General features: G+C 53.8%; 2 annotated features.

Moving 5' to 3' along the window:
* Positions 24,914 to 25,469: an enhancer, noted in NCBI's record as "H3K4me1 hESC enhancer chr7:73285703-73286258 (GRCh37/hg19 assembly coordinates)". NCBI's record gives its function as "activates a minimal SCP1, AML or CMV promoter by ChIP-STARR-seq in primed H9 embryonic stem cells {active_cell/tissue: H9 hESC(primed)}" and the evidence as "EXISTENCE:reporter gene assay evidence [ECO:0000049][PMID:30033119]".
* Positions 25,942 to 26,871: an enhancer, noted in NCBI's record as "H3K4me1 hESC enhancer chr7:73284301-73285230 (GRCh37/hg19 assembly coordinates)". NCBI's record gives its function as "activates a minimal SCP1, AML or CMV promoter by ChIP-STARR-seq in naive H9 embryonic stem cells {active_cell/tissue: H9 hESC(naive)}" and the evidence as "EXISTENCE:reporter gene assay evidence [ECO:0000049][PMID:30033119]".

Here is a 27,004-nt window from a genome sequence, read left to right as displayed (position 1 = left end):
CACAATCAGGTTTAGAAGAATTATTTGAGCAGGAGGGAGGAGATTGGCTCAAGCAGAGAGACACTGCAGGCAGGGAGACTTAGGATTAAGAATTTAAATGTTCCCTTAGAGGCCAGGATCTGAGCAGCGGCCAGGCCAGGAAATGGGGTCATAGAGCAGACCTCAGTTAGCAACTGACCCAGGCTAAGTGTCACAGGTGGATCTCACTTCATGCAAGTGGAGTCTTGACAAGCTGAGTCATAAATGACACTTATGTTGATACTTTAGGCCAAATTCTGCTTTCAATGACTCAATCCAAAAAAGAAATTAAGAAAAAACAATTCCATCTACAGTAGCAACAAAAAATAAAATACTTAGGAAAAAATGTTTTAAAAGAAGCATAATACTTGTACACCGAAAGCTACAAAATATCATTAAAAAATTAAAGATCTAAATAAATGGAAAGACATCCCATGTTTGTGGATTAGAGGCTTGTTATTGTTAAGATGACAATTCTACCCAAAGCTGATGACAATACTACCAAAAACAGATTCAATGCAATGCCTATCAAAATCCCAGTGGTGTATTTGCAAAAATGGAAAAAATCCATTCTAAAAATCAGATGGAATTTCAAGGAACATCAAATAGCCAAAACAATCTTGAAAAAGAACATTTGGAGGACCTACACTTCCTAATTTCAAAACTTACTACAAAGCTACAGTAATTAAGACAATGTGTTACTGGCATAAACATAGACATATAGATCAATAGAATCGAATTGAGAAATAAACCATTACAATTGTGGTAAATTGATTTTTGACAGCAGTGTCAAGACCATTTAGTGGGGAAAGAATAGTCTGTTTAACAGATGGTGGTGAGACAACTGGATATCCACATGCAAAAGAATGAAGTTTGACCCCTACCTCACACCATATATAAAAATTAACTCAAAATGGAGTGAAGATCTAAATGTAAGAGCTAAAACAAGAAAACTCTTAAAAGGCAACATCGTGGTAAATCTTCGTGACCTTAGACCTGGCAATGGTGTCTTCGATATGATGCCAAAAGTACAAGCAACCAAAGAAAAAATAGACAAATTGGATTTCATCAAAATTGAAAACTTTTGTGCTTCAAAGGACACTATGAAGAAAATGAAAAAGACAACCCACAGAATGAGAGAAAATATTTGCAAATCTTATCTTAAATGACTTGAGACTATGTTAAATGAAAAGCTCTTCTTGGAAACTTCTTCATAGTGGGGGTGGAGGGGGAAAGAGCCTACCCCAATGTACAGCATGCAGGCATCCTGCCCTGCCCTTTGTGGAATGAGTTTACCCAAAGAGGATCTGCTCATATAGGAAATTGGGGAAGTTAAAGTGGGGGAGGGTGGGAGGAAGGAGAGACACTTGCCCCCAGGGCAGCCACAGTTCTCTGGGAACTTGCTCACAAATTCCCTGAATTCCCCCAAATTAATTTTAGAATGAGTCCTCGAAACCCAAGGAGGCCAAGGGACGGCCCGGCGCCAGTTTGGGCAGCTCTCAGAAAGGGGACAGCATGAGGGAGAGGCCGTCTGGCCTGGCCTCGTTTCCCAGCCAGGCCCCATCCATGGGAAGGTCACGAGAGGCACGAGCCGGGGCCAACCCCCGTGCAGGGCGCGGGCGCAGGCAACAGGCCAGGAGGTCCTGGGGCCTGAGGTCTCCATTCCCACTGACATCAGTGCAAGGTGTCAGGGGGCCTGAATCATCGGGGCTGGGGCCAGCCCCCCTCCCTGGGGGTTGTGGGGAGAGCATAGCAGAGGCATGAGGCAGCCCCAGCCAGGCGGGCGGCCCTAGGCTGGGCTGGCCCGGTGACTGCTTTATAGAATTAGTGAGTGGGACTCACCACAGGGGGGAGGTGGAAATGTCATCGTCCTGGATTCCAACAGGCTGTACTCCCCCTCTTTCTGATTCACAAAATTAATTTCAATGGCTAGAGAGGAGTCTGGCAGCAGGGCCAAGGGGTCATAAACACGGGGAATATTAATAGCTTCAGCCAGGCTGCCTGAGGGGCTGGGGGGCCCTCCAGAGGGACTGATTTATTTAGTCTCCTCATTAATGATGTGGAAAGACAAGAGTTTGCCCGAGCCTGAGGCGGATACTGACCTACATCAGGGCAGGAATTGCCCATGCTAAGGACACACCACGGCGGACCATCCTCGGCTCTATCTCCCCCAGGCACTATTCCTCTTGGTTTTATCGTGGTGCCCTGGCTCTATATCCCAGCCAGGTGGGCCCAGGTGAGGCACCATTATTGAGCCATCTCAAAGCAGCAGACGGTGGGAGCTAGGCACACCAGGCGCATACCGTGGCCAGGTAAGGATCGATCTCCTTCCAGAGCTGAGATCTCAAGAATAATGCATATTCATGCATATGAACACACATGCTCAGACCTTTCCATGTTTCTGACGACAAGACCAGCCCTGCTTCCCCTCTCTCCAGCCGGTGGCTGGACATACAGGACCAAGTCAAGGTGTAGAGTACCCAGCCATCCCAGACTGGCACATGATAGAGTGAGCCAGGTGCAGCAGGAATATACATTCCAGGTAAGGATGGGCTCCTTCCTGAACAAGGACCCTAGCCTCCTTAGCCCTCCACCCCAACCTCACCCTGCCATTAATCAACCTTATATGTCACTCCCAAATCTAGGGATATTTAACACTGGGAGTTCAGGGAAATTCTACACACATGTGCATGCAGAATATATACAACACCTGTTCCCCAACACACTTGGCAGAGCCCCATTCTAGGGCATAGCTTGGCCTGCTAAGGGGAACAGAAACCAGGGCAGCTGGCACGCTCTGGCCCTTCCCAAGTCCCCGGGTCCTGAGAACATCATTCCAAACTACCCTTGGGGCCCCAGAGTCTGAGGTCACAGACCAAGGAGTCTGTGAAGAGGGTCAGCTGGCAGTGGCTTGGGGAGATCCAGTTGGGAGGCGTGCCCAGGGCCCACGCAGACGGGCTGGGGGAGCCTCCCCTGGGAAGCCCTCCACTCCCAGCTGCACACTCCTGGCTGCCAGCGCTGGGACAGACACAGACGGACTGGGCCTGGCAGCAGCTGCAGCTGGGAGCCTGCCGAGTCCTGGGCTGGAATGAAGGAGAAACCTGTCCAGCGATGAGATCAAGGCAATGGCACAAGTGTCCCCCCCAGGGAGCCGAGCTCTGTGTCCCAGGACATTCCAAACTCTGTGAACAAAACATGGGATGGGAGGCTAGCCAGGCTGGGCCAGGGCCAGGTGGCCCCCCACCCCTCCCATCAACGGATGGTTTTGCAGGGGGAGCCCAGCCTCCTCCTGCGGGGGCTGTCCCGGCCCAGCAGTGGGACCGGCTGGGAACGCAGCATGCACTGCCAGGAATACTGCCCACACAAGTCGCCTGGGGACGCCGCATCCAGACACCTGCCACGTTCCCTCGGCAGGGTGCCACGTGTGGTCATCTGCCTGAACCCGATGCTGCATGGGGTGCTGTAGGTGACCCATGCTGCACATCCTCCTGCTTGGCTCTGTTTAACTTAGCAAACACCTTCGAAGCCACGATCGTATTTAATAACACCTGATGGAGACCCGGTCTGGCTGGTTTCCCCCATTTTATAGGAAACTGGGGCCCAACGTGCAGTTTGCTGGGGGCCACACGGTTATCAAGTGCTGATGCAGGATTCTCACCCAGGATTGCTGCCTCCCCAGCTCAATTCTTGCAGTTACACTTTGTGCTGGTAGTCGGAGTCCACCAAGACTCTGGGCTCAGCCTCCCTGACCGAAACCCTAATTCCACAGCAGCACCTCTAAAATCAGCAGGTTCAATGCCTTGATTCTATAAATGGGTAAAGTGGGGGAAAAAGGGACAAGGCCTTGCCAAGTTCATAGAGCATCAGAGGTGAAAGTGGAATTCAGCTTCAGATGTTGATGCTCGTAGGAACGTGAGCCAGGCATGATTCCAGGACAGCTGGAAGGCAGCCAATGTGCATGGCTCAGAGAGCCGGGGAGTGGAGAGAAATCGTGGTGGCTTCCTGGAAGAGGTGTACTGCCCCCCAAGCAAGGCCTCTGTGAAGCCCACTCAAGTGACCCTACGTAGAGACAGTCACAGATCAACAGAAGGAAAATTACAGGCTAGGCTCATGCATGTAATCCTAGCACTTTGGGAGGCTGAGGTAGGAGGATCACTTGAGACCTGGAGTTTGAGACCAGCCTGGGCAACATAGCAAGATCCCATCTCTTATAAAAAAAAAAAGAAAGAAAGAGAGAAAGAAAGAAAGAAAGAAAGAAAGAAAAGAAGGAAGAAAGAAAAGAAAGAAAGGGAAAGAAAGAAAGAAAGAAAGAAAGGAAGAAAGAAAGAAAGAAAGAAAGAAAGAAAAGGAAAGAAAAGAAAAAGGGAAAGAAAGAGAAAAAGGAAGAAAAAAGAAAGAAAGAAAAGAAAAGAAAAGAAAAGGAAGGCAGGAAGGCAGGAAGGCAGGAAGGAAGGCAGGCAGGCAGGCAGGAAGGAAGGAAGGAAAGAAAGAAAATTAGCCGGCGTGGTGGCACGACCCTGCAGTCCCAGCTACTCAGGAGATTGAGGTGGGAGGATCATTTGAGCCCAGAAGTTTGAGGCTACAGGGAGCTATGATCACACCACTGCACTCCAGCCTGAGTCAGAGATTGAGATACCATATCTATTTTAAAAAAAAAAATTCTTCTTTGCAATGGCAAAGAAGAATGAGAGGCTACGGGGGTGAGCTGTAACTGCCTGTGTAACCTCAAAACTGTCCCTTCCCCTCCCCGGGCCTCAGTGGCCTCATCAATACAATAGGGACACGGGATGTTGGCTGTGGCCAGATCACACAGTGACTCTTGCCAGCTCAGCCACTCCTGCAGCAGGGTTCTGAGGACTGGCTCAGGGCTGCCCAGATACTGGCCATGGCTTAGGAGCCCCCAAGTCCAAGTGGGGTGCCTGAGGAGGAAAGAGGCAGGCTACTGCCTGCTAAGCTGGGATGTGAGGTCTGAGGAGGAGCCCAGTGAAGGCCAGAGATAGGGTCGGTGCTGCAGGAGGGGCTGGAGGAACAGCTAGCAGACAGAGGGGAGGAGGCCTAGGCGTGGACGGCCGGGGTCAGCAGCAAGGATTATATTGTGTAAACGATAGGAAACTGAGGGGATTAGGCGGGACAAGGTCATGGTCAGAATGACCTAGGGAAGGCGTCATCCATGCGGTCCAGGCAGATGATGGTGGAATCCGACACCAGCAGCAGCCAGGAGGTTTCAGCAGAAGCTGAGTAGGCTCCTGACAGGAGGCAGAAGTGGAGTCCTTCTCTCCCGTCCATCCCAGACTGGGAGTCCCCTGGGGGGCAAAAGAAGGGCTCTGATCCCCAGGTTAGGCATCTGAAGGCAGGATGAGCCCAGTGACTGTGTGCTGACCCCGGCATGTGCCTGGCCATCCCAGCCCTCAGCACGAAGAGTCCACCCTCCGGCTGGACCAGGTCAGGCTGACCAAGGGCATGACTGACAGGCAGCCTCTTCCAAGGAGCTACGTTGTTTGACTCTCCTGGCTCCTCCCAGTGGCCAAGGCTTGTGGCACAGAATGGTTTCCAGAAATCAATGGTTCTGGCCGGGCCTGGTGGCTCATGCTTGTAATCCCAGCACTTTGGGAGGCCGAGGCAGGCAGATCACCTGATGTCAGGAGTTCGAGACCAGCCTGGCCAACATGGTGAAGTCCCGTCTCTATTAAAAATTCAAAAAGTAGCCGGGCATGATGGTGCACGCCTGTAATCCCAGCTACTAGGGAAGCTGAGGCAGGAGGATCGCTTGAACCTCAGGGGTGGAGTTTGCAGTGAGCCAAGATCGTGCCACTGCACTCCAGGCTGGGCAACAGAGCGAGACTCCACCTCAAAAATAAATAAATAAATAAATAAATAAATAAATAAATAAATAAAAGAAATTAATGGATCAAACGTCAACGTTGAAGTAGGGTAGACCATGAGCAAAGACAAATTCAAGAAGGAATTCCTCCATCTGGACCCAGTAAAGGCTCACTGAGCGTTTACTCTGTGTCAGGCTCTGGGCCAAATGTGGGGGCCACAAAGAGGAGAAAGACAGGGCCTTGAGAGTTCACGGAGGGGACAGTGCCCAGAGATCCGTAGGCCCTGCAAACCCAAGGACACCAGGCAGTGAGCGCCAGGACTGGGAAGGACCTGGAAGATCTCGGCCTTTGTCGGTGGAGAGGAGACGGGAGGAAGGAGGATGCTGGGAGCGCCAGGGGGTCAAGACAGCAGGGAGGGCACTGGAGGAGGGGGTCTGCAAGGAAGTGGGAGAAGGAGAGAAGGGAGGGGACTCCCCCATCCAACTCCAGGATCAAGGACCCCAGCCTGCTTTCCTCCAAGCCAGGTTTTGGTGGAGACACAGAAGCAGGGCCACTGGCCATTTTCACCTTTTAAAAACCACAGCCATTCGAAGCCAGGCGCTGGAGCCAAATTTCTGGGAGAGACAGAGTCCCTGTGGGCGCTTCCCCTGACGTCAATCGGGGTTTCTCTTGTGTGTCTGCGGCTTTGACAGGAGGAGGCCAGTTTAGGGGGCTGAGCTAAGAGAACGAGAAGAGGACCGAAAGCCAAGTGCCGCTCCCATTCTTCCAACCTCCCTGCCCATGGATGGAGCCCTTGTCAGGGTGGTTCAGGGACCCTGCTCAACAGCAGGGCAGGTGTCAGTTACAGGACAGGAGCTGGGGTCACCTAGAATCCTGCACACCATCGTGACTCCTGTGCCCTGACATGAAAGCCACACCCCGTGTAGTCTGGGAGGCTCCGTGCCAAGGAAGCCATTTTGATGCAGGGCAAGCAAGTCCTAGAATTGGGGCTTAGCCCGGGAGCACTCTTGGCTTCACCCAGGAAAGAATTCAAGGGTGGGCCGGGCGCGGTGGCTCACACCTGTAATCCCAGCACTTTGGGAGGCTGAGGCGGGCAGATCACTTGAGGTCAGGAGTTTGAGACCAGCCTGGCCAACATGGTGAAACCCCATCTCTACTAAAAATACAAAAATCAGCCAGATGTGGTGGTGGATGGCCTGTAATCCCAGCTACTCGGGAGGGTGAGGCAGGAGAATCACTTGAAACCAGGAGGTGGAGGTTGCAGTGAGCTGAGATGGCACCACTGCACTCCAGCCTGGGTGACAGAGCAAGACTCTATCTAAAAAAAAAAAAAAAAAAAAAAAAAAAAAGGCTGGGCACAGTGGCTCACACCTGTAATCCCAGCACTTTGGGAGGCTGAAGCAGGTGGATTACTTGAGGTCAGGAGTTTGAGACCAACCTGGTCAACATGCCAAAACCCTGTCTCTAGTAAAAATACAAAAATTAGCCAGGCATGGTGGTGCATCCCTGTAATCCCACCTACTCGGGAGGCTGAGGCAGGAGAATCACTTGCACCTAGGAGGCAGAGGTTGCAGTGAGCTGAGATCGCGCCACTGTACTCCAGCCTGGGCGACAGAGTGAGACTCCGTCTCAAAAAAAAAAAAAAAAGAAAGGAATTCAAGGGTGGAGGTGGTGGTGTTAAACAGCACCTTCTATTGAAGCAGCAGTGAACAGCGACAGCACAGCTGCAGCTCCTTGCAGAGCAGGGTTATCCTATAAGCAGTGTGTCCAGAGGCAGGCCTGCACTCATATTTTTTTATACCCACTTTCAATTATATGCAAATTAAGGGGTGGCTCACGAAGACTTTTCTAGGATGTGGGTGGTAACTTCCAGGTTGCTGGGTCATTGCCATGGAAAGGGGTGGTAAATTTCAGATGTTGCCATGGCAATGGTGAACTGACATGGCACATGGGTGGGCGTGTCTTACGGAGAGGTTCTGCCTCCGACATGCTTTAGCTAGTCCTCAATTTGGTCTGGTGTCTAAGCCCCGCCTCTGGAATCAAGTCCCATCTCCTACCTCATTTTGAGGTAGAGGTGGCACTATCTGCCACTAAGGGACAGTAGAGCCAAATATGAGTGACCAAGGCCCATGACACAATCCCAGGAGGTTCTGAGAACATGTACCCAAAGTGGATGGGTTACAGCTTGATTTTATACACTTTACTGGGACATAAGTTATAGGGAAACATCGACTGATGTGTACATTGGTTCTGTCTGGAAAGGTGGGACAACTTGAAGGAAGGTTTTGGGGGAGGTTCCAGGTCATACATGGATTCAGAGATTTTCTTTTTTTCTTTTTTGAGACAGGTTCTCACTCAGTCTCCCAGGCTGGAGTGCAGTGGTGTGATCTCAGCTCACTGCAACCTCCACCTCCCAAGTTCAAGTGATTCTCCTGCCTCAGCCTCCCGAGCAGCTGGGACTACAGGCTTGCGCCACCACGCCTGGCTAATTTTTGTAATTTTATTTATTTATTTATGTATTTATTTATTTGAGACTGAGTCTCTTCGGCGAAGACCTTCATCTTAGGGTTCCCAAGAACTGTCCACCTGCCTGCCCCTCCCTCCCCCTGCCCAGTCCAGCCACCTCGCTCCAGGCCAGAGCTCCTGCAGTGCCCCCCACCCCACCCAGCAGCCCTCCACATTCCAATCCTCTTGACACGGCTGCCAGTCCAGGTTTCGGGAGTTCAGCCCAGCTCCCAGACACTGAGCTTCTCAGATAGGGAAACTGAGGCCCAGAGAGGGCCCAGGTGCTCTCTGGCACACCCTGTGTCCTCAGGCCCTGCACAGGCATGAAGGCACATTTTGCTGGAGAGAGAACGCGACTGAAGCCGTCTGTCCACCCACCAAGCCCAGTCCCAGCCGGTTGTAGGGGCTGGGGGCTGGGGGTGCAAATACAGGAGGGACAAAGATCACCTTCAACACACACCTGCCCCTGTCAGCTCCACACAAGCAGCCTGTCCCAATACACATTGATGTCCTAGTCTGACACCATCTGAGCCTTGAACTCAAACCCAGAGTGATACCAACACCCAAGCCAGCCAAGCTCATCTGCAACCCCAGACAGAGCACCAGCCGTGGCCCCTGTGACCCCAGAATAAACCTGACCCTGACCCCAGACTCAAGGCTAACCTCTACCCTGGACTGAATCCCAACTCCAACTCCTCTCAGAACCCATCACCTGTCCCACACTGAAGTCCAGCCCTGGCTCCAGGCTGAGCCCTGACCTGACTCCAATCTTAGATCAAGTCCTGACCCCTACCCCAGACTGAGCCCTGACCCTGGCTCCAAACTAGCCTTCATCCCAACCCTTGACCAAACCCAATCCCTGCCCCAGACAGAGCCTTGAGCTCCACACCAAACCAAACCCCAACTCTCCACTCAGACTGAGCTCCAACCTGGAAACAGGCTGGTTCCTGAGCCCGCCATAGGCTGAGCTCTGACTCCAGTGCCAAGCCCTGATCCTCACCGTGACCTCAAACTAAACCTGACCCCAAGGCAGAGCCTTGACCCAGTACAGACAGCCCAGGAAAGGCTCTCAGGACAGCAGACACCAGCCCATCCCCTCTGCTGCCAGGCAGGGCAGCAGGACTGGGGCCACCAGGTACCGGAGAGGAAGAGAGGATACCGGCCACTCATGAGCTGTCACACTGGCCAGCCCTGCCCTCCCTGGCTCAGGCTTATCAAATTGTGGGGTGGGGGCTGCACAGCCTGCCTGCCTCTGCGTGGGTGAATGAAAGGCTGGCAGAGGGGGCCTGGATCCTTCCACGCTGCTGCAGATGGGTCTTTCAAGGAAGGGAGATGAAACCAGGGGAAGGTCCTGGCCCAGATGGGACCAAGGAAAGCCTGGCATTGGGCCACTGCCCCCATGAGAAGCAGAAAATGTCCTGAGTCTACTGGACAGGGGCCATGCTCTGCAGAGGATACAGCCAATTCGGTCACCACACCAGGGCACAGGGCTAGGAGGCTTAGCAGTGCAGGACCCCCCAACCTCCTAATATCAAGAGATGAAGGACTGGGGGGGAAATGATCCAAATCCTCAGGGCTAGCTGAGTCCTGGAGGACTCCGAGCCTGAGGGGTTATTCCTCCTTCCCATCCAGGTGCCCTCTGGTCTCCGGATGTGGGGCCAGGGCCCCCAGGAAGGCCACCTGAGCCCCCCTTCCTCATGGCCCCAGTCCCTGCCTCGCTGTGAGAACGTGCACTCACAGCCACCGGGAAGAGATCAGCATGAAGGAATGTGCTGTCTGGGGGCCAGCGGACAGGATGGGCCGCCGGAGAGGGAGCGAGTGAGGAGAGCCGGCGAAGATCGGAGCTGGGAAGGAAAACAGAGATGAACAGGGGCAGCAAGCCAGGCCACGCCGGCCCAGCCATTGTTCCCAGCCCCGCGGGTCAGGTGCACCGGGCCCACCGCCCGATCCCAGCCTCTGTTCAGCACGGGCTGCCCAGACTTCCCCAGGCCTGCCCGCCTCCCTCCTGTCCCAGAGCCTAACCTCTGGGGTCCTGCCCAGCCTAGGAAAAAGACAAAGCCTGTCCTCTGTGCCGCCAGACAGCCCTCTGGGCCTCTGTCTGCCTCTTGGCAATGTTTCCTCTCTCACCCCCAAGGCCCTGGTCCTTCCACAAGCCTTACTCTGTCCAGACCTCCCTTGTGGGAGGAAGTCTTTGGTTTCCATGGTCTGATAAGCTAATCCACACACGGGTGTTAATAGCTGATAATGACTGAGATCAGCTCTCAAGTGTGGCCCCCGACCAGTAGCTCCATATCACCTGGAAACTTGTTAGAAAAGCAAATTATCAGTCCCAGCCCAGACCTACTGGATCAGAAACTCTGGAAATGACACCCGGTGGTCTGTTTTATGTTTTTGTAGTTTTTGTTTTGGAGACTGGGTCTTGCGCTGTCACCCAGGCTGGAGTGCAGTGGTGCAATCATAGCTTACCACAGCCTCAAACTCCTGGGCTCAAGCGATCCTCCTACCTCAGCCTCCTGAGCAGCTGGGACTACAGGCATGCACCATACTTGGCTAATTTTTTTAATAGTTTGTAGAGACAGGGTCTCTCTATGTTGCCCAGACTGGTCTAAAACTCCTGGCCTCAAGCCATCCTCCCATCTCAGCCTCCCAAAGTGCTGGGATTGCAGATGTGAGCCACCATGCCCAGCCTCAGTGGTCTGTTTTAACAAGACTTCTAGGGGATTCTCACACACATTCAGGTTTGAGAACTACTGACTTAGAGCTTAACACATGTCCATAGAAATAATAACAGGCCAGGCATGGGGGCTCACGCCTGTAATCCTAACACTTCAGGAGGCTGAGGCCAGAGGATCACCTGAGGCTGGGAGTTCAAGATCAGCCTGGGCAACATAGTGAGACCCCATCTCCACAAAAAAATTTAAAAATTAGCCGGGCGTGGTGGTACATACCTGTTCTCTCAGCCACTTAGGAAGCTGAGGTGGGAGGATTACTTGAGCCTGGAAGGCAGAGGTTGCAGTGAGCTATCATTGCACCACTGCACTCCAGCCTGGGTGACAGAGTGAGACCCTGTCTCTATTTTTATAAAAAATGAAAAGAAAAAATAAAAAAGAGCCCAGGCATGGTGACTCATGCCTATAATCCCAGAACTTTGGGAGGCCGATGTGGGTGGATCACTTGAGGCCAAGAGTTCAAGACCAGCCTGAGCAACATGGGGAAAACCCGTCTCTACTAAAAATACAAAAATTAGCCAGGCATGGTGGCATTTGCCTGTAGTCCCAGCTACTCAGAAGGCTGAAACAGGAGAATCTTTTGAGCCCAGGAGGCGGAGGTTGCAGTGAGCTAAGATTAAGCCACTGCACTCCAGCCTAGGTGACAGAGTGAGACTGAGAAAAGAAAAAGAAAGGAAAAGAAAAGAAAGAGGAAAGGAGAGAGAGGAAGGAAGGAAGGAAGGAAGGAGAGAGAGAGAGAAAGAAAGAAAGAAAAAGAAAGAAAGAAAGAAAGAAAGGAAAGAAAGAAAGGAGAGAGAGAGAGAAAGAATGAACTGAATGAATGAACAAGTAAGTAAATGAGTTTTAAGAAAGCCCAGTCTTATCCCCAGACTTCAGTAGAATGGTTTCTTCTTGACCATCTGGTGTCCAAGCCCTGTGGATAGTTGAGAGCTGCAGAGTGGAATAGAGAAAGACTGACAGCTGACTCCCTCAGAGACGGAGCAGGTCTCAGCAACTTCACCTGCCAAGAGCCCATCCAGCAGGTAGGGCCTGGGGTACAGCCAGACTCAAAGAGGCCCAGTGAAAGCTGATGGGAGGAGGTGGTCTACCAGGCCAATAGGAGGTAGTGACAAGAGTCTGGGACTGGGGGCTTATGCCTATAATCCTGTAATCCCGTAATCCCAGCACTTCGGGAGGCCGAGGTGAGCCCAGGAATTTGAAACCAACCTGGCCGACATGGTGAAACCCCGTCTCTACTAAAAATACAAAAATTAGCCGGGTGTGGTGGCACATGCCTGTAACCCCAGCTACTCGGGAGGCTGGGCAAAAGAACTGTTTGAACCCAGGAGGTAGAAGTTGCAGTGAGCCCAGATCGCGCCAATGCACTCTCAGCCTGGGCAACAGAGCGAGACTCCATCTCAAAAACAAACAGGCTGTGCGTGGTGGCTCACGCCTGTAATCCCAGCACTTTGGGAGGTGGGTGGATCGTGAGGTCAGGAGATTGAGACCATCCTGGCTAACACGGTGAAACCCTGTCTCAACTAAAAATACAAAAAATTAGCCAGCCGTGGTGACGGGCACCTGTAGTCCCAGCTACTTGGGAGACTGAGGCAGGAGAATGGCGTGAACTCAGGAGGTGGAGCTTGCAGTGAGCCGAGATCACACCACTGCACTCCAGCCTGGGCGACAGAGAGAGACTCCATCTTAAAAAAAAAAAAAAAAAAAGGGACCCAAGCTCGGATGCCAGGCCCCTGAACATTGAATTTGGCTCCTTCGGAAATCTCCTAACTAAGATCAGGCTGAACCTCAGGGGCTGGGACAGAGCTGAGCCCAGCAGTGGCGTCCCGGGACTTCTGCTGCAAGGAGGGGACCAGAAGCTGCAGGGTGAGAACCCAGCATGGTCTGAATCTTGTGAACTCATCCCTGAATCTGGCCTTTTTTTTTTTTTTTTTTTTTTTTTTGAGATAGAGTCTCACTCTGTTGCCCAGGCTGGAGTGCAGTGGTGTGATCTTGGCTCACTGCAACCTCCACCTCCCAGGTTCAAGCGATTCTCCTGCCTCAGCCTCCTGAGTAGCTGGGACTACAGGCGCACGCCACCATGCTTGGCTAATTTTTGTATTTTTAGTAGAGACAGGGTTTCACCATGTTGGCCAGGATGGTCTCGATTTCTTGACATCATGATCCACCAGTCTCAGCCTCCCAAAGTGCTGGGATTACAGGCGTGAGCCACGGCACCTGGCTTGAATCTGGCCTTTGAATCAGATCCCTCCTGAAGCTGGCATTGCCCTTTCCAGAACTTCAGAGCAACGTGATGCCTAAAGTCCTCTTGGCTTTCCCAGCTGCCTGGGTCTTGCCCAGTCTTGGCCACAGGTGACTTAATTGTGGCTTCTGTCTCCGGGACAGATTAGGGAGATGCACATAGTCTGTCTTAACCTCCTTGGTTTTTGTTTGGTTTTGTTTTTGTTTTTCTTTGAGACGGAGTCTTGCTTTGTCGCCCAGGCTGGAGTGCAGTGGTGCGATCTTGGCTCACTGCAATCTCCACCTCCCAGGTTCAAGCGATTCTCCTGCCTCAGCCTCTGGAGTAGCTGGGATTACAGGTGCCCACCACCTGGCTAATTTTTGTATTTTTGGTAGAGACGGGGTTTCTCCATGTTGGCCAGGCTGATCTCGAACTCTTGGCCTCAAGTGATCTGCCAACCTTGGCCTCCCAAAGTGCTGGGATTATGGGCTTGAGCCACCGCATCCAGCCTCAACCCCCTTATTTTGTCCACCTGCCGGCTCATCTCCCTTCAGGGCCAAGGAAGAGAAGACGAAAGAGTGTGGCCGGATCTCCACGCTTGCACGACACCAGGAAACCTCATGTGGCCAGCTCCAGCCCATATTGAAAGGGGTTTCACTCAACATAAAAAGAGAAGCATCTTCACTCACAGCTGTCACCTCTGCAGGGTTATTTGACATTTCAGGTCCAGTAACTCCCGAGATATCCTCTCGACCTGTGTGGCCCAGAAGATGTCCTGAAAAAGAGCCCATGGGGAGAAATGACTTTGGTGTCACATGGGTCCAGGAAACACTGTGCACCAGGGTCCCTTCTTAGAAGGTCAAAGCTCCTATTTTATGTATGTCTGTGTGTATTTATTTATTTATTTAGAGACAGAGTCTCTGTCACCCAAGCTGGAATGCAGTGGCATGATCTCAGCTCACTGCAACCTCCGCCTCCCGGGTTCAAGCAATTTTCTCTTAGCCTGCTGGGTAGCTGGGATTACAGACACCCACCACCATGCCCAGCTTATTTTTGTATTTTAAAGCCCCTATGAACAATTCAAGATAGCCAGGCCTGGTGGCATGCACCTGTAGTCCCAGCTACTCTGAAGGCTGAGACAGGAGGATCGCTTGAGCCCAGGAATTCCAGGCTGCAGTGAGTTATAATTCCACCATTCAGTCCAGCCTGGGTGACAGAGTAAGACCCTGTCTCTAAAAAATAAATAAAAATTAAAAATTAAAAAAATTCAAGGCTCTGATAAGTCCTGCAAGATAATAGCCTGTCTGACTTTGTGTTTCCTAGGCTTCTTGGATCCAGAAGCTTTTCCCCCTCCCAAAGTAATAGTCAATGGAGCATCACTTGGGAAACACATCCAAAATGCAGAGGGCATCCTTCCAGAGTTCCGAGAAGGAAAAACAGGAGTTGGAGAAGCATCTTGCTAAAGAGGCATAGAAGGCAGGGGATACTGGAGATCCACGAAGGCTCAGCCTCTCTCAACCTCCAGGATCCCCCATCTCCAGAGCCACTGTCCCCAGAAAAGGTGTCATTGAGCAGAAACCTCAGAGGAGGGGAAAGATTCCTTAGCTGTCTAAGAGACAGCCTCAGGTAGGCTGGTGCGCCCAGCCAGCAAGGGAATGAGAGGCATCTCCCAGCATGCCCTGGGGAAGGTACAGCCTGGTCCTCTGGTTGGACTTGAATTCTCAGACCAGCTCATGTCTGTCTACACCTGACTCCCCAACTCTGCACAGTAGGACATATGACATCTGTCCCCCACCCCCCTCCCCTGATTCTGTCCTCTCCTAGGTCTTCTGCATCTGCCTAGGGTGTGAGATGACCTCCTAACCCCCCACCTTGGGGCTTGGAGGCTCCTGTCTTCTTTGGAGTGGAGGAGAGAGAAAAAACTCCTGCCTCAGCTCCCTCCCACCTGCGTAGACTCTTGGCTGCCTTCTGAAGCCAGACAATACAGGGAAATGTTTGCGCCCAAACAACTTTGCTGCATCAGGAACTGCTTGACCCTGCCCAGGAAAGTAAACTCCTAGAGCTCCACCCTTTTGCTCCCTCGGTCTGCAAACCAGGGATCAAAGCTGGAGGGGCAGCCCAGCAAGGGGTTATCAGAGCCAAAGGGGTCACAGGTGTCCCAAGGTGGGCAAGAGGGGAGAGCTCAGGGGTCGCCTCTCTCTAGGGACCCGGGCTTGCCTTCCTGGCTAATTCAGAAAAGGAGTTCTCTCCTTGACAGTGAAATATGCAAAAGCCAGATTGCCAGTATTTTTCTGGAGAGCTGTGGCTCTGAATTTAATCTGGTCTAAAGATAATGAAAACAGCACTTTGACTTGATTTGAAAAATGTATTAATTCATTCCACAAGCATTTGCTGCGCTTGGGTTCTGTGCCAAGCCTAGCGTTGGGCACTGGAGATCCAGTGTGGATCAGCTAAACGCTGCCCCGGAGAGACCCACGGTCTAATGGGGGAGAGAGACACACAAATGGAATCGGAGGGCAGGCGGCTCTGCTTGGTCCCCAGCTGAAGTTCCCCCTGGGAAATGCCAACCTTGGCTAAACTAAAGGCTCAGGAGATTGGCACACACATAGCTGGGACAGGTTAGGGGGCCTGTCACTAAATGCACCTGCAGCCATCTGGCCGCCCTACCATGGAAACTATAGGATCAGTGCATAGTTTCAAAACCGGACGTCCTGTCCTCATATTCGATAAAGACTCCAATGCCCTCCAGGGTCCCCTCCCGGCAGCCCTTCCCTTCCTCTCCGATGGGAAGTCCCTTTGCCAACCTCAACACAGCCCTGAGGTGATGAACATCAGCTGTGAGCCAACATTGAGAAAAGCAACACGGGGCAAGAGAAGATCGGCTTCTCCTGGCTCATGGGCACAAACACATTCACAAATATGTGGACACTCCCAGAGGATGACCTCCGGGCATTCCAGTGCATCGACCTTTGGGACATGTCAGCTTCCCATTTCCAGCAGCGGGCTGTGGAGGGGAGGGAGAACCAGTGATCCAGTGACTGCCTCCCCTGTCCAGGCTCCCAACTCAACCCTAGTGGAGCTTGGACAGCAACTCATCCTGTCTTAGCCTTTGGGGACATCAAGCACGGGGTGGAAGGGGCCAGGAAGATGGAGAGCAGGAGGCCAGGGGCGGCTAAGGTCAAGACAGTCAGTCTGTTTGTCATGGCCCCTCACGCCCACCTCGCCCGCATGCCAGAGACTGTGTGTTTTCGTCTTTTTCTTGGAGGGGGAGGGATGCGGCTCAGAGCCTTGAGTGATGAGTTAAGTGACAATGAATTTGAACCACATGGAGCCCGGGCTTAAGGGGAAAGTGTTTTGGTGAAATGCAGCTGGGATTTCATCAGCCCCCACCCCCCAGACGGTACAAAAATAGTCCAGGCCAGGCAGGCTGTGACCCACAGGCCTGGCCCAATTTCGCCAACCCCTGTCCTGGAGAAAAGCTCGGAGTGGCCTCTTTCCCTCGATCTGGGTTTCGTAATCTGCCTCTTTGTTTTGGTCGCTGGTTTGTTGATGGGCTGGGTTTGTCTGGGAGAATTTGCTCCCTCTGGAAGAGAGGGTGAAGCCAGGAGACCCTCTCTTACTGTTTGTCACAAGTCTCCTTGGGGCGTCAGGGAGGGGCCAGAGCTGGGCTTGCTGGCCCCAGGCGGGGTAAGAGTGACATGGTCACGGCTTGGGACCAAGACCAGCTCGGGAAGCCCTGCAGCTTTGGGGATGTGGGTGGGTCATGGGCACTGGGGCAAGAGGTGGGCTTCACTCAAGCAAAAGCTGAAAGGTCTATCACCCTCTCAAAGCCAGCTCCACCCTTCAGAGGGGGAAACTGAGGCAGAGGCAGGGTGTGAGTGATCCCAGGCACTGGAGTCTGTTAACAGCATGGAGGAGGCATCCGGAAGTGTTTGTGGGTTGAGAAAATGACAAAAGCCCTTTGCCCCAGTCCCTCTCAGCTGAGCCCAGGAAGGAAAGGAAGGCAGGGCTGCCTGAAACCCCCACCCCAGGGCACACCCGGAAGGTGGACAGGCCCCACCTCCCTGAGCTTCTGTCATACATCATCTCCTTCCCTCCTTCCCCATATGTGAATGGTGGTAGCCACCTCCCTGGGTTGGGATGAGGGGAGGTGACCCTAATCGTGCCCTTGCAGGCTGGTGGCAGCAGGACCCACAGGGCGGCAGCTCCCAGAGGGAAAGAGATGCACATGCTGTGAGGCCAGGGGCTGCTGGGACGGGGAGCGAGCTTGGGGTAACAGGGCCATTGATTTGACAGTCGAAAGTCACATCATCCAGGCTGGGCACAGTGGCTCACGCCTGTAATCCCAGCATTTTGGGAGGCCAAGGTGGGCAGATCCCCTGAGGCCAGGATTTCGAGGCCAGCTTGGCCAACATGGCAAAACCGTCTCTACCAAAAATATGAAAAATTAGGCGGGCATGGTGGCGGCACCTGCAATCCCAGCTACTCTGGAGGCTGAGGCAGTAGAATTGCTTGAATCAGGGAGGCGGAGGCTGCAGTGAGCCGAGATCACGCCATTGCACTCCAGCCTGGGCAACAAGAGCGAGACTCCATCTTAAAAAAAAAAAAAAAAAAAAGGCCGGGTGGGGTGGCTCACGCCTGTAATCCCAGCACTTTGGGAGGCTGAAGTGGGCAGATCCCAAGTTCAGGAGATAGAGACCATCCTGGCTAACATGGTGAAACCCCATCTCTACTAAAAATACAAAAAATTAGCCGGGCGTGGTGGCAGGCGCCTGTAGTCCCAGCTACTCGGGAGGCTGAGGCAGGAGAATGGCGTGAACCCGGGAGGTGGAGCTGGCAGTGAGCCAAGATCGCGCCACTGCACTCCAGCCTGGGTGACAGAGCGAGACTCCGTCTCAAAAAAAAAGATAGAAAGAAAGAAGAAGAAGAAAAAAAGTCACGTCCAGAAACTCGGCCCATCCGGGGTACCTAGAACAATGCTGGGTCTTGCCATCTTGTCTGTTGGGATCATGTGTGACAATCCCCAAGGGAACGAGGCTGCAGGGACACAGGTGTTCAAGGCCGCTTTGAGAACTAGTCTCCCATCTCGCGGGACTCAGGCAGGACCCGGGTGACCGACCAGAGCACCGAGGTCCAGAGAGACCCGGTCCTGGGGACCAGGGGTGGACACAGGGCAGGTGGCTCTTAAACACTGCTGGACATGTGCTTTAGGACCATAGCAAGGGACATGAAGGGTGACTCAGACTGACCCGGGGTGCCCATCTGTACTCAGGCCCTTGGGGTGGGGCGAGGGACCAGGAAGGGCCACCTTGAGAGACTGTAGGGGTAGCCAGAGTGGCTGGGGGTAAAATCAGAGCCTTCTGTCCAGCCCCAGGCAGGGGCGCTGAACCCATCACAATTCCCTGCCCAGGGGCTGAACCAGCAGCTTCCTCCTAATACCAAGTTCAACAGTGTAAAGTCAAGTTAATCTTAGCCTTACCAGAATCACAGCACTTTGGGAGGCCAAGGTGGGAGGATCGCTTGAGGCCAAGAGTTCAAGACCAGCCTGGGCAACATAGCAAGACTACATCTCTACAAAAAAAAAAAAAAAATTAGCTGGACGTGGCGGTATGTACCTGTAGTACTAGCTACTCAGGAGGCTGAGGCCGGAGGATCACTAGAGCCCGGGAGTTGGAAGCTGCAGTGAACTATGATCATGCCATTGCACTCCAGCCTGGGTGACAGAATAAGACCCTGTTTCAAAAAAAAGAAAAAGAAAGAGGTCGGGCACGGTGGCTCACACCTGTAATCCCAGCAATTTGGGAGGCCGAGGTGGGCAGATCCCCTGAGGTCAGGAGTTCGAGACCAGCCTGGCCAACCTGGTGAAACCCCATCTCTAATAAAAATACAAAAATTAGCTGAGTGTGGTGGTGCATGCCTGTAATCCCAGCTACTCGGGGAGCTGAGGCATGACAATCACTTAAACCTGGGAGGTGGAGGTTGCAGTGAGCCAAGATCGTGCCACTGAACTCCAGCCTGAGCGACAGAGCAAGACTCTGTCTCAAAAAAAAGAGAGAAAAGAAAAAGAAAGAAACTTCCTCCTCTGTCCCCTTCAGGCCACAGCTCCCCAGGGAGAGCCAGGCCCCTAGGACCTCAAGACAGGGCCCATGTTAGTCCTTCCTGCCTCAGTCTCCCCATGCAGGGCCGGGCCAGAGCACCTCAAAAGCACACAGGAAGCATGGCCGGGGCGACCCCTTTCTCCCTGCCTCTGCCCCCTGCCCCAGGGACCCCAGGACCCAGCCTGTCTGGAAACCCCTGCTGGCCTGGCCTCCTTCCCTGCTCTTGCTACCCAGAGAGTTTCTGTTCCCTCCACTCCATTGTTCTCCCAGTACCGCTGGCCCTCTCCACTGCCCTCGGCCCTGGGCCAGCCCCCACAGGCCAGGCTGAGCCCAACTGGGGCACAGGGACATCACGCCAAGGCTCTGGGAAGCCTGGTCCCACACCCGGAGTTTGGGGAATGCGGGAAGTTTCTTCTCGGCCCTCTTGGCCGAGGTGCGAATTAGGGGCTCGATGAGGCAGCTCCACAGAGACACACCAATGGAATCGGAGGGCAGGCGGCTCTGCTTGGTCCCCAGCTGAAACTCCCCCTGGGAAATGCCAACCTTGGCTAAACTAAAGGCTCGGGAGATTGGCACACATATGGCTGGGATGGGCTAGGGGGCCCGTCACCAAATGCACCTGCAGCCGTGTGGCCGCCCCACCATGGAAACTAGAGGATCAGTGCATAGTTTGCAAAACCAGAGATCCTGTCCCCATGTCCGATAAAGACTCCAATGTCTCCTGGGGTCCTCTCCCAGCAGCCCTTCCCATCCCCTCTAATGGGACATCCCTTTGCCAACCTCAACACAGCCCTGAGGTGATGAAGTCACCTGCACTGAAGTCCCAGCTCTGCCGCTTCTCAGCTATGTAGATACATGACTTTGCCTCTCCGAGCCTTAGTTTCCTCATCCGTAAAATGGGGATGACACTGGGACCTTCCAGCCAAAGGTGTTGTGGGGAGTATGTGGGATATCACATCACGGAGAAGTCCTCTCTGTGTGCCTGGCACGAAGGAAGGGCCCGGTGAAGAGCACCTCTCATGCTTCCTAGAGAGGGGTGGGGACTCTGGGTGACAAGAGAAGTTGCTAGAGCATACCTGCGGATGGGATGAGATGGGAAGGTCCATCAGGATGGTCCAAGGATGATGCCAACGGCCCCAGGGTGCTTTCTGCTCATTCTGTCTCTGTAGGTCCTCTAGCAGGTCAGACAGCTGCAGACACAGAGGGAAGCCCCCCTCACACACCCAAGGGGAGACCCCCAGCCCCAGCCTTGGAAGCCCTGGTGATCATAAAAACAATTAGCCAGGCGAAGTGGCACATACCTTCACCCCCAGGTACTCAGGAGACTGAGATGAGAGGATCACTTGAGCCCAGGGGTTTGAGACTAGCCCTGGGCAACATAGCAAGACCCAATCTCTATAAAAATTAAAAAATTAGCTGGTCATGGTGATGTGCACCTGTAGTCCCAGCTACTTGGGAGGCTTAGGTGGGAGAATCGCTTGAGCCTAGGAGTCTGAGGCTGCAGTGAGCTATGATTGTGCCACTGCACTCCAGCCTGGGCAACAGAGCAAGACCGTCTCAGAAAAGAAAAAAAAAAAGGCGTGGGCCGGGCACAGTGGCTTGCGCCTGTAATCCCAACACTTTGGGAAGCTGAGGCAGGTGGATCACCTGAGGTCAGGAGTTCGAGACCAACCTGAGCAACATGGTGAAACCCCGTCTCTACTAAAAATTCAAAAATCAGCCAGGCATGGTGGCACGTGCCTGTAATCCCAGCTACTCCGGAGGCTGAGGCAGAAGAATTGCTGGAACCCAGGAGGCAGAGGCTGCAGTAAGCCGAGATCACACCACTTCACTCCAGCCTGGGCAACAGGAGTGAAATTCCATCTCAAAAAAAAAAAAAAAAAGTGTGGAGGTACACAGGCTTTGAAGTCAGACCCTCTGGTTTGAATCCCAGGCAGCACCCTCACCTCAGGGTCAGGTGCTCCCCCAGGAGACTAGGCCACAGTGGGTGGGTCCTCCAAGGTTGACCTCTTGGCCCTCCGCAGCCCCAAATTCCCACCCTTTAAAAGAGCCAGGGGAGGCCGGGCACGGTGGCTCACGCCTGTAATCCCAGCACTTTGGGAGGCCGAGGCAGGTGGATCACGAGGTCAGGAGATCGAGACCATCCTGGCTAACATGGTGAAACCCCATCTCTACTAAAAATACAAAAAAAAAAAAAATTAGCTGGGCATGGTGGCGGGCGCCTGTAGTCCCAGCTACTCGGGAGGCTGAGGCAGGAGAATGGCGTGAACCCAGGAGGCAGAGCTTGCAGTGAGCTGAGATCGCGCCACTGCAGTCCAGCCTGGGCGACAGAGCGAGATTCCCTCTCAAAAAAAAAAAAAAGAAGAGCCAGGGGAACCCAGCTCCCTGGCCACCGGAATCAGATCATGCAAAGCCCATCTTTGTTTGACTTTGGAAGGCTTGACAAGGTGGGACACTGCCCTTCCACACCTGGACACCTCGTCTGACGACCTGGGGGAGATAGGACAGATGATCCTGGTAACTCAGCCAATTCTGCTTCTCCTCCTGGGCACAGCCCAGGGACATCACCTCTGAGGGCCTTAGCGCCATCCCTCTCACTGTCTGGCTCTGTCTACCTCTCTCTGCTCTTTCTGTCTCCCCAACCCCACCCCAGCTTGCAGAGAGGCCGGATGTAGCAGTGGTCCATCCTGGCCAAGGACACAGATTTGGCCAGGCATGGTGGCTCATACCTGCAATCCCAGCACTTTGGGAAGCCAAGGCAGGAGGATCGCTTAACTCCAGGAATTTGAGACCAGCCTGGGCAACATAGTGATACCCCATCTCTTTTTTTTTTTTTTGAGATGGAGTCTCACTCTGTCACCCAGGCTGGAGTGCAGAGGTGTGATCTTGGCTCACTGCAACCTTTGCCTCCCAGGTTCAAGTGATTCTCCTGCCTAAGCCTCCTCAGTAGCTGTCACTACAGGTGCATGCCACCATGCCCAGCTAACTTTTGTATCTTTAGGAGTTGCACCATGTTGCCCAGGCTGGTCTTGAACTCCTGAGCTCAAGCAATCTGCCCGCCTCAGCCTCCCAAAGTGCTAGGATTACAGGCATAAGCCACCACACCCAGCCATGAGACTCCAACTCTAAAAAATATAAATATGTATTTTATATATATATATATATAATATATATATTAGCCAGGTGTGGTAGCTTACACCTGTAGTCCCAGCTACTCAGGAAGCTGAGGCAGGAGGATTGCTTGAGCCCAGGAGTTTGAGGCTGCAGTGAGCTATGATCATGCCACTGCACTCTAGCCTGGGCAACAGAGACCTTGTCTAAAAAAAGGGGGAGGGAGACACAGACTTTGGAGCCAGTCTTCCCGGTTTGCATCCCAGCTCTGCTACCCAATAACCAAGCAGAACTTAAGCCTCAGGTTCCCCATCTGTAAAATGGGTTAAATGGTAACAACAGTGCCTCCCTCCCAGGGAGACTGGAATGAGTTAATACAAGCAAAGCCCTCAGAACAGTATCTGGCCCATAGCGAATATTTAATAAATGCTAGCCCTCGTTATTTTTTATTTGTGTCTTCATCCTGCATGTTTGCTGACTCAAATTTTCCTTGGGTAAGGAGGTGCGGGAGAAGGCATGGGGCTCTGTGGTTTGAATTGCCTGTTGCTCCAGGCCTCCGGGCTGCAGGCTACAATAAAGCACTTCTTTCAATCTGGGCCAATGATGCTTCGATAAAGCTTGACCACAGGATGCAGGATCGCCAGGCTCTGCAAACACAACCCAGGCCTCGGAGGCTGGGCCAGCACCAGAGCTAAGACTGTTCCGGGCAGGCAGGCAGCAAGGTCCCCAGTTCCAGGCCACGGGCTGTGGCCATCCCCTGCTTCCCTCCTCACCCCCCACTCACCCCAACCCTGCACGCCAAATCTCCGGCCTCCACCCCAAGGCTATTCACATCCCCTATCCTAGAAGACTGAGAATCTGGGAAGGCAGCATCGCAGAATCCTTGAATCTTGGAGTTACAAGGCTTTAGCATAGTGCTAGGAGGTTGCCTCACACAGCCTCAGACTCCTTGCAAGAATAACCTCTGCCGGCTGGGTTCGGTGGCTCATGCCTGTAATCCCAGCACTTTGGGAGGTCGAGGCAGGCAGATCACCTGAGGTCAGGAGTTTGAGATCAGCCTGGCCAACATGGTGAAACCCCACCTCTACTAAAAATACAAAAAATTAGCCGGGTGTGGTGGTGCGTGCCTGTAATCCCAGCTACTCTGGAGGCTGAGGCAGTAGAATTGGTTGAACCTGGGAGGCAGAGGCTGCAGTGAGCTGAGATCACGCCATTGCACTCCAGCCTGGGCGACAAGAGTGAGACTCCATCTAAGAAAAGAAAGAAAGAAAGAAAGAAAGAAAGAGAGAAAGAAAGAAAGAAAGAAAGAAAGAAAGAAAGAAAGAAAGAAAGAAAGAAAGAAAGGAGGGAGGGAGGGAGGGAGGGAGGGAGGGAGGGAGGGAGGGAGGGAGGGAAGGAAGGAAGGAAGGAAGGAGAAAGAGAGAGAGAGAGAAAGGAGGGAGGAAGGAAGGAAGGAAAGAAGAAGGAAGGAAGGCAGGCAGGCAGGCAGACAGGTGAAGGAAAGAAAGAAAGAGAAAGAAAGAGAGAGAGAAAGAAAGAAAGAAAGAGAAAGAGAAAAAGAGAGAGAGAAAGAAAGAAAGGAAGGAAGGAAGGAAGGAAAGAAGGAATAACTTCTACCATTGCCATGTTCCTGACAGAGAGCAGTCCCACCAGCTTGGATCCCTCCATGACGGGGAGCTCACTACCACAATTGTGACTTAAGATTCCCACGTGCTTTTAGCTCATTAGGATCACATGTCCCTAGTGAAGTCAGAGGGGCCTACAACCCCACCGAAAAGGAACCTGTCCAGGCCACCACCAGGCAGTTCCCATGGAGTGTCTTTGCCCAGGCAGCCTTTTGTGCCTGAGATGGTCATTTCTTCCAGATGCCCTTGGCTGACCTCGTCCTCAGGCTTTCTTCTCTGAGTCTGGGGCCCCTGGGGAGACATCCAGCCTCTACCGTGCCAAGCACGGGTGTTGGCAGGGAAGGAGGGAGAAGAGAGGATTCCTGGGAAGGGACAGCAGGGCTGGTTGTGTGAAGTGAGTTTCGTGATGGGGACCCCAGTGCAGCGCCCCACCCCCCAACAGTTGGTGGCACCCCCTGCTGTGCCCGAGGCATCCCAGGAGGACGTGGGCAGCCAGGCGATCCAGGGGGCCTCAGAGGCTTTTTCAAGCGCTACCAAGGGGCTGCCGGGTGTGTTGGTGCAGAGTGGCTGCTGTCACCACCCCTGGCAAGGGACTTGTTTCCAGATTATGTCTAAACTAATCTATTCCCCAGGCAGCACCCAGGAGAAGCCCCATGAGCCCTCTGCACACAGGACCCTGCCTCAGGACAGGGAACCCAGGCAGCACCGACTCCAGACCCAGCTAGGCACGGGGAGAGGCGGGGTGACCACAGGGCTCCAGCTGTCCAGATGTGCAGCCAGCATTCTGCCGTGGAGACGGGGCGGAGCTGCCGCGAGGGGCCCAGATGGGCCACGTTAACCTGGGAACAGGCTCTTTGGGGCCCAGATGCTCTGTGTTTAGCCGGCTAGCTGGTTTTGGTCTCCAGATGTGAGCCTGGGGTGAGGGGCGGGACACAGATCCAGATGCGTGCACTATATGCAGGCGAAGCCGTAGGGCCCAGCTGCAGCACCCAGGCCCAGGGCCTTCCAGATCATGCCTTCTCCAGCGCCTCAATCCACGCCTGCGGGGCCCTGGTCCAAGAGGGGGTCAAGGTTCACTCAGGCTCAGAAGTTAGCAGAGCCCACAGGCACCCTCATGGCGGGAACAGGGACAGAGCCCAGGGACCTGCCCAGTGCCACACAAGCCAGGGACAGGCAGGACCCCCAACAGGAGTAGAGAGTCTGGGGTCCCTCCAGCCACAGGCCGCTGCAGGTGAGGGGCTTGGGGAAATGCCTTCCTCTCCCTAACCCACACAGACACTCTCAGACACACACAATTAAGTAATCTGGACAGCCCTGGCCAACCAGTGGGAGGAGGTGCTGCATTCACTGTGGAGGAGAATTATCAGGGGACACAGTCCTGCCCCAGGTGGATCTCAAAGAATCCAGCCTTCCCTGGGGGCCCCACCCCTCAGCCTCCTCCTGCTCAACCCAGGAAGTGCAAGAGCCCTGCTAGGTGGAGGACTTGGGGCTGACCGCTAACCCCCCAATCCCAGGCACTTTTGGGATCTCAAGCCCCCAACCCCAAGCCAAGGTGGGTCAAAGGCGAAGAGGGGTGAAAGAAGAGAAGGCACTACCACTGCTAAGCAAGCGCTGGATGGAGGGGGCTGGAGAAAGCCTCCCGAGGGATCCCAGACACGACGGCTTCCCAGGTGCCCGGCCATCCTCACCCATCTAGCACAGATATGGGGGGCAGCTGGGGAAGCCCAGAGACCCCTGCATTAGCCCCCAGCATGGTCCTGAGACCCTGCAGCCTCCCCCTCCTGCCACCCAGAGGGCCTCCATCCTAGATAATAACCCCAAGTCTCCCAGCAGCCCCCTTCTCAATACCAACAGCTGCCCAAGGTCAGCTGCCTCTCCCCAGCACCCTCCATCAGCCCCTAGAAGTGCAGCCGAGAGTCCGGGCGCGGTGGCTCATGCCTGTAATCCCAGCAGTTTGGGAGGCTGAGATGGGCGGGTCACCTGAGGTCAGGAGTCCGAGACCAGCCTGGCCAACATGGCGAAACCCCGTCTCTACTAAAAATACAAAAATTAGCCGGGCATGGTGGCGGGGCACCTGTAATCCTAGCTACTCAAGAGGCTGAGGCAGGAGAATTGCTTGGACCCAGGAGGTGGAGGTTGCAGTGAGCTGAGATCGTGCCCCTGCACTCCAGCCTGGGGGACAGAGCAAGACTGTCTCCAAAACAAAACAAAAAAAGAAGTGCAGCTGAGAAGGCAAGGACCGAGGCACAGGGCAGGACTTCAGGAAAGCCCCTTGTCCTCTAAGTTTCAGTCCCACGACTGTCCAGCGGCCCCAGCTCTGGACTCTGAGACAGGAAGTCATCGTGGCCACAGCGGCCACTGGTCAAGGTCAATGATCAAGTCCACCTGACCATAGGGCAGCCTAGCAGGGGAGGGGCGAACAGGCACAGCTACTCTTGGGGCCATCGGGCATCTTGCCAGCTCCTTCTCACCCTGTCGGGGCAAAGCAGCTCAGGAGAGAGACAACAGGACCGGCACAGTCTGGCCTGGGTGGGGAGGCTGGCTGGGGGAGCTGGATTGAAGCGAGAAGCGCTAATAGGTTATGTCAGGCGAGCGCTCTGGGGAAGGGGCCGCGCCTCTCAGCTCTGGCAGCCCCACCTGGGGCCTGAGCCCAAGAGCTGGGGCCTGGAGAGAGACGCTGGCTCAGTGCTGAACCCAGTGTGCAGACCGGGGAGCAGGAAGGCAGGACAGAAGTGAGCCCCCATCCCCCACTGGGCCTGGGGCAGCAGGGGGGCTGGTGATAGACACACAGACCCCTCTGGTGGGCTAGGCAGGTCCCAAGTGACAGAGGCCACCCATGCTTACATGATGGGACTGGGCTTGGTGGAGAGCGAAGCCC

The sequence above is a fragment of the Homo sapiens genome, chromosome 7, assembly GCF_000001405.40.
Source record: "Homo sapiens chromosome 7, GRCh38.p14 Primary Assembly".
NCBI classification, from domain to species: domain Eukaryota; kingdom Metazoa; phylum Chordata; class Mammalia; order Primates; family Hominidae; genus Homo; species Homo sapiens.
Note: the sequence above shows the minus strand (reverse complement) of the source record. Positions and strands in the feature narration are given on the sequence as shown.